Below are 8,019 nucleotides of genomic sequence, written 5' to 3'. Positions count from 1 at the left end.
CCCCAGCACCATTTATTGAATAGGGCATTTTTTCTATTTTTGTTTTGGTTGTTTTTCTATTGCTTGTTTTTGTCAACCTTCTCAAAGATCAGATGGTTGTAGATGTGTGGCCTTATTTCTAGACTCTCTATTCTGTTACATTGGTCTAGGTACCTCTTTTTGTTCTAGTACCGTGTTGTTTTGGTTATTGTAGCCCTGTAGTATAGTTTGAAGTTGGACAGTGTGACATCTCCAGCTTTGTTCTTTTTGCTTAGGATTTCCTTGGCTATTTGGGCTCTTTTTTAGTTCCATATGAATTTTAAAGTAGTTTTTTCTAGTTCTGTGAAGAATGGTATTGGTAGTTTGACAGGAATAGCATTGCATCTATAAGTTGTTTTGGATAGTATGGCCATTTTAATGATATTGATTCTTCCTATCCATGAGCATGAAATGTTTTTCCATTTGTTTGTGTCATCTCTGATTTCTTTGAGCAGTGGTTTGTGATTCTCATTGTAGAGATCTTTCACCTGGTTGGCTGTATTCCTATGTATTTTATTATGTTTGTGGCAATTGTGAATGGAATTGCATTCCGGATTTGGCTCTCAGCTTAGCTATTGTTGGTGTATAGGGATGTTAGTGACTTTTGTATTTTGATTTTGTATCCTGAGACTTTGCTGAAGTTGTTTATCAGCTGAAGGAGCCTTTGGGCCAGGGCTATGGGGTTTTCTAGATATAGAATCATGTCATCTGTAAACAACAATAGTTTGACTTCCTCTCTTCCTATTTGGATGTCCTTTATTTCTTTCTCTCGCCTTACTGCTCTGGCCAGGACTTCCAATACTATGTTGAATAGGAGTGGTGAGAGAGAGCATTCTTGTCTTGTGCTGATTTTCAAGGGGAATGCTTCTAGCTTGCTCATTCAGTATGATGTTGGCTGTAGGTTTGTCATAGATGGTTTTTATTATTTTGAGGTATGTTACTTCAATACCTAGTTTGTTGAGAGTTTTTATCATAAAGGGTGTTGAATTTTATCAAAAGCCTTTTCTGCATCTATTAAGATAATTATGTGGTTTTTGTCTTTAGTTCTGTTTATGTGATGAATCACATTTATTGATTTGCATAATCCCTGCATCTCAGGGATAAAGCCTACTTGATCATGGTGGATTAGTTTTTCTATGTGATTCTAGATTCAGTGTGCCAGTATTTTGTTGAGGATTTTTGCATTGATGTTCATCAAGGATATTGGCCTGAAGCTTTCTTTATTTGTTGTGTCTCTGCCAGGTGAGGTATTTCTAATAACCAAGATTCTTTGAAATTTCAAGAGGAAAGACTGGCAGTTTGTGGAGTTTACCTAAGGGAATCCTTGCCTAACTCTCCCCCTACCAGGAGAATGTTAGAAGGAGAGAAAAATGAGAGAGGCTGGGTGAGACATACATGTCCCCATTTTTCCTCTTTCTGGTCAGGAGCCAAGGGAGGAGAGGTGTTGGGTCGAAGGATGAGAAAAATTTGCCCAGTTTGGAACCCTGTAAGGAGCTTCTGTATAGAGTGACCACCTCAACATGGGATGGTGGAGGGGGCAGGATGGTCGCAGCTGAGCACTGAGTAGCAGAACAGGATTGAGCAGAAGAAGGGCCAGGTTTAGCTTTCCCAGGTATTTTTGACACCTCTGGGATGTGAATGGAACTCAAACAAGCCCACAGGCCTCCAAGGAGAGCCAGTAAATGGGCCAGGGATCTGTAAAAGGAGAAGGGTAAGGGATGCCCTCACAGCTGAGTGCACAGCCTAGGCCAAGGGCAGAGGGAAGAGGAGGGGCAGACTCTGACAGGCTGCAGCACTTCCTCATGGCAAACCCAAGCCTGGAACATGAGGAGGCTCCACAGAATCCCACACATGAAGCCAGGAAACGCAGCAGCCTTTCAGTAACAGATGTCAGCAGGAAGCCCAGAGATGGACTCGTCACAATTTAGTGTTTAAATCCAGCCTGAACAAGTCACTGTGCCTAAGGGGCCAATGAGGGTCCAGAGGATACCTCTTGTCTCCTCTGTCACCATCTGATCATATAAGCCACACTCTTTGCTGATAAAGCCAGAGATGATCTAGAGTGACATTTAAGAGACTGAACTTGACCTCATTCATGACCTCAGAGATGGAGCATTTACCAAAGGGATATTTTAAATTATTGAGTCAGACTATATTAAGTTTTTTTCCCTTTCATTATCCATCAGGTAGAGGCTTATGAGAAAGATAGACTCAATTATAAGGAGGAAGTGGAAATCTGTACTTTCTTTACACATATTTATAGTGTGAATAAATTTGTGATTTTCTATGCTATTATTAACCAAGGGTTTACACCCAGGATCTAGACATGACACGCTGGTAGTGCTTTTTGATGAGAGATGGTTTTGACATTACATATTATAGTGGCTTCATTCACAATGTCAAGCCTAACTCACACTTGTGTTTGGCATTTATCTCATTAACAAACAAAATTAGCCCAGTAATTTTCACTGGCAAATTAAGAGACCATGGGACTTTTGTAGGAAAACAGGGTGTCAATTTTAAAATATTACTTTTAGGTAAGTTGCACTTGAATCTCATAAAATTTACCTTTCGCCCTGATTTGATATGATCAAATAATATTTGGTTATTTGATAGTATTAATACATGGCAATTTTTAAAACATCGCTCCTAACCAGTTTTAGAATTTCCTCTCACTCATCTTTTAAGGAAAATAGTTCTGTGATTTGTTCATGGCCAATGTTAAAGGGTCAGGTAGCACTATAGATTAAGGGAGGCAGAAAATTTACAGAGAAAAAACTATTTCCATTGTTATGAATTTAATGTTGGAAAAAACAATTTCCATAGTTATGAATTCAATGTAGCTCCGCGCCCCCCACCCACCAAATCAAATGCCTATGGCTCACACGGTTTTCACGTGTGTTCTACATTTCTCGTTGAGTCACAGACGGGAGCAGTGAACCCTGAGGAAACTCAGTACACATTCTAAGGACAGTCACGCCAGAAGCTTGCCTCCCCAGGCTTCATGCAGCCCCAGTGAGTCAGGCAGAACTTTCCCAGCAAAGCAGCCTGTGTGTCACAGTGGACCAAGGCGAGCTCCTGCTGTTATAAATAGATTCTTAGTGGGACTGGGAAGGGCATGGAGACACCAGAAAATATAGCAGTTCTGGGTGGGGTGGCAGACTGAGGACAGAAAGTGGTAACAGACTATGATGCAAGTTAAATTGATGCCAGAACCTAGGCTTCTGCTATTAACAGTGTTTCCTTTCTCAGAAGGGACTAACTGGGCAGTTCTTTGGCTCCAACTGACTTCTACCCCCCTTGCTAAATCATTTGATTTCTGCTGGCTCGCACCCTCTTTGCTTCTTCCTGGCAAGCTCTTGGGCTGATTTCCAATCGCTTCCCCTTGTGGGTACCCTTTTCCAGGGTTACTTGAGGTCGTGCAGTTGTTTTGTTTCTTCACAGACTTTTAGGCAAAGTTATTCCACATGGCTCTTTAAAGGCCACCCAAACTACAAATTTCTTAAAAATATATGTGCATATACATGGGGAAAAATCATAAATTTGAGTAAAAATGTTCATTATAAAACAAAGCTAAAAAAAAAAAGCCAGTGGCCCCCACACCAAATCTGAATAGACTACATGGTCCAAATTTTGTATTATAACCTTATAGGAATAGATTATGTTTACATTACTATACAAATGCATAGACAAAACTACAATAGCAATATAAAACCTGGAAGGAAATATAAGAAAATATTTATAGGAATCTACCTCATGTAGTACAATTATAAATTATTTTTATGGTTTTCATTATAATTTTCTTCACTTTCAAATTTCTATAATGGTATATATAAGTTTTATAGTAAAAACTATTTAAAAACCACCAGTTGTTTTTTTTTGTTTCCATTTTTACATCAGCTAGTACATACAGTTTTCTAAAACAGCAATAGCTGTGTGCAGCTGGTGGTATATGGTGGGTGGGGTGGGTGTAATATAGGAAGAGGAATGTAGAAAAGAACAGTATGTTCAGAAGAAATGAATTGAGGCTCTTGCTTTAGACATAAAGTATTTTACACAAATTGCCCAAGACTTCTCATTTACAGTCGGTCACAAGCTATAGTGAATATTGGCTGGGTTTTGGCAATGCTGAATGCAATTTTGCCTTTCTTTTCTTTCCTTTTCTTTCTTTTCTTTTCTTTCTTTCTTTTTCTTTTCTTTTTTTTTCTTTTTTTCTTTTTCTTTTTTTTTTTTTGAGATAGAGTGTCGCTCTGTCACCCAGGCTGGAGTGCAATGGCACGATCTCGGCTCACCACAACTTCTGCCTCCCGGGTTCAAGTGATTCTCCTGCCTGAGCCTCCTAAGTAGCTAGGATTACAGGTGTCCACCACCACACCTGGCTAATTTTTTTATTTTTAGTAGAGATGGGGTTTCGTCATGTTGGCCAGGCTGGTCTCAAACTCCTGACCTCAAGTGATCTGCCCTCCTCGGCCTCCCAAAGTGCTGGGATTACAGCCGTGAGCCACTGAGCCTGGCCAATTTTGCCTTTCTAACAACAATTTTCTTTTCAGAAATTAGTTCTCACCCAGTCTAGTTTAACTGTTATCAGGAGCCCCATACTTACTTAGACTGGGGACAGATACACAACCCAAGTCTAGTTATTGAAATGTTCTTTTTGCTGTGAATTTGAACTATGAATAGAGAGACAAAAGAACTGAAAAACTGATTGTAACTCCATTAGGTCCTGGCAGCACCTTGTCATTCCCGCTACCTTGTCCAGGGCCTGCCTTGCTATGTGCCTGTTCCCAAGTCTAACTAAATTCCCTGCTGCTTAAGTTAATCAGAATCAGTTTCTTTTGCTCATGCCTGTGTCATACAGTTATTTTTACAGCTTGACTGGGGCATCTCCATGCTGACCTCCATGAATGCCTGGATGCTTTGCTTTGACACTTGGCCAATTTAAGGTCAGTGGGCTAACTAACCAACTAATCAGTGATTTGCAATGCACTGTTTACAGTCCAGAAGTCCCCTGGCGAAACCCAGGGCCAGAATGTTTGTTGATAGCTTTCACCTGGTGTGACCAGTTGCCTGTCTTGGCTAACAAAGGGGTGAGGGGTTTGGGGAGACTGCTGTCTAGAGGTTTTGAGAAGCCAAGTTCATATCACAAGTCTTGGTTATTTAATCTGGAGAGCAAGCACCTCCTCACACAAATCAGAAGAAACACAGTGCCTGGAGATGTCTCAGATTCCCAGTGCTTGAGTGCCATCTCTTTCTCTTGGTATACCTGAGCTTTTACCTTTATTTGAAGTCTTAGGTGAGTGTGCTTTGTGAAATTTCCTGAGCCCTTTCAGATAACTTAATCTGAGTAATCTTTTTGGGACCCTAACTGACACAGAAGTAAATAGCAGATACAGAGTGACAGAAAACCCTCAGTGATGAAAAGGTCTAAGACAGCGAGTAGGTAGAGGCACGATTTAAGGTGGAGAGAGGGGCTTGGCTAGCTAGGCAGTCTTTTTAAAAACAGTTTTTTTAAATGTTTATTTCTTCAGAGACAGGATCTTGCTCTGCTCTGTTGCCCAGGTTGGAGTGCAGTGGTGCCATCATAGCCCACTGCAGCCTCAAACTCTTGGGTTCAAGGAAGCCTCCCACCTCAGCCTCCCAAAGTGCTGGGATTACAGGAGTTAGCTGCCATGCCTGTCTAACAGTCTTTCATATCAGATCCAGAGAGGGGCAATGTGCAGTCATTTTTCCATGAATGTGTGAAAAACTAGGCGGCATTCTAGACCATTCTTATAAGATACTGTATATCAGAATGAAGTCAGGAGAACCTTTGACTGTTTTGTGAATATGATAGAACCCATTCCTGTTACTGGACAGGTGTCAAAGCCGTGGCTCCGCGGTAGTGCTAATGAGCAGGTTGCTGCTGCTCTTCTTGGGTGCATCTTCCTCACAATTCCATGCCCCGGGTTGCATCCTCTGGGCCGGTTCTACCATTCTCCTGTGGTTGCTTGGTGAATTGTAAGCTAAGATCTAGTCAGGGAATGATATGTTGGGAGTCAGTGAATGATATGTTCCAAAAATGCTGTTAATCTGTGGCTGGGTGTGGTGGCTCACACCTGTAATCCTAGCACTTTGGGAGGCTGAGGTGGGTGGATCACCTGAGGTCAGAAGTTTGAGACTAGCCTGGCCAACATGATGAAACCCTGTCTCTACTAAAAATACAAAAATTAGCTCGGCATAGTGGCGGGTACCTGTAATCCCAGCTACTCAGGAGGCTGAGGCAGAAGAATCACTTGAACCCAGGAGGCGGAGGTTGCAGTGAGCCGAGATCACACCACTGCACTCCAGCCTGGGTGACAAGAGCGAGACTCCATCTCAAAAAAAAAAAAAAAAAGAAGCTATTTATCTACTGGGGTCAAGCTGTGGATGAGTTCTGGTTCACAGAGATTTGCAGGATTCACTGGTTCCATTCCTCTCTTTTTGAAATAATCAATTGCGTTATTGCACTATCACAGTGAAGTTTAAGTCTTTATTTTTTAATCTCCTGTACTGGCTGTGAGCATTTGATTGCTGCAGTTTGGCATTTATCTTCCCATTTTCAACAGTATCAAGCAAATGCCTTGCATATAGTAGGTGCTCAAAAAGTATTTGCAGAATAAGCATATACATGTATATATTTATACATTTGATGACCAAGCTACCAGAAGTTCAAAGAAACCTGTGTTTTTCCTTCTGCTCCACTGTCATAAATTAGAGAGTGACAAAAAGGAAGCACAATAAACTGATAAAAGAAAGAAATGCAGCTTATATCCTCATTTATAAAATGGGGATAATGATCCTACCTACCTCCAAGGGTTGTTCCAAGGATTAAATGAGCTAATTTTTCTAAGCAGTTTCTGGTACATAGAAACCATCCCCCACCACATTCCCTTGGCCATGTAATCACACAATAAACCCAATATCTAAGGCCTTACCAGCAAGGAGTTTGCAATATAAGCTGAAAGGCTGCTATAAGCCTTGTATTCTCTATCACCCTTTCTCTGGGTTATCCTTAGATATTCTCTCCTGGCAGATCTTCCTGCATGTGCACAGACTGGAACAGGAAAGCCCTACTGTATCTCCTTGGCCTCAGGCTACCCGTAAATTCTTCAAGAGGGCTAGTGGAGGCTTTCTATAAACCCATTCTCTCACACCGATCATGCGCCTTTTCATTTCCAAGGGATTAGATAGGAAATACAGATTGCCTAAATTAATCAAGAAACAAATCTTGCATAAGAATACCTTTTGTTCAGGTAAACACAGAAATAGGTCCCATTAAGTGAGAAGTAGAAGGAATAGATTACTAGTAGTAGTGACTGGGATTTCCATCTAAGAAGCTCTTTAGGGACCTCTGCTCTACTAGGGGACCCTGTTTCAATGTGTAAGAGTTACTTTGCTGCTTTTTGAAATATAATGTTATACACTCCACCTTTCAAAGACACACCATCTATTAAAGATGGCTGTCCTCAGACCAGTCTTGGAACTCTCAGAAACAAAAAAATTAAGCTAGAGTAACATTCAACTTAAGACATATCATGACCTAATTGAGATCACTTAGATGAAACCAATTATTTAAAATTAAAATGACTAAAATTACTTATAATATACCTCTTTGATTTATTCCTTTCCTTACTTGCTGATCATATGTGCACTAATATCTATGGTCAAGTGTGCATGTGCAGACATGAAAGTCTTCCTCATCCAGATGATTTGGGAGGCCAACTCCCTCACACAGCTGAGTCCTTGGAACATAGGCAGGCTCAGTCTAGGATGGCTTCTAGAGAGAATACTTGGAGCAGCAATGTGACCCCCTAAGATGTCAGAAGTGGGGAAGGGGCTGAAATCTCCCTTTCAAAGGCTCACAGCTTCCTTGGCAGCTTGAGTAATTGGAAGAAACTAGTAGCCCAGCCATAGCTTCAAAGGGTGGTATCACTGATGATTTGAGAAACTCCCGGTATTAACATCTACCTTAGAACCTTCACA

Source organism: Homo sapiens, chromosome 4, assembly GCF_000001405.40.
Source record: "Homo sapiens chromosome 4, GRCh38.p14 Primary Assembly".
Lineage (NCBI taxonomy): Eukaryota > Metazoa > Chordata > Mammalia > Primates > Hominidae > Homo > Homo sapiens.
The sequence above is the reverse complement of the archived record's forward strand: the minus strand, read 5'-3'. Positions refer to the sequence as shown.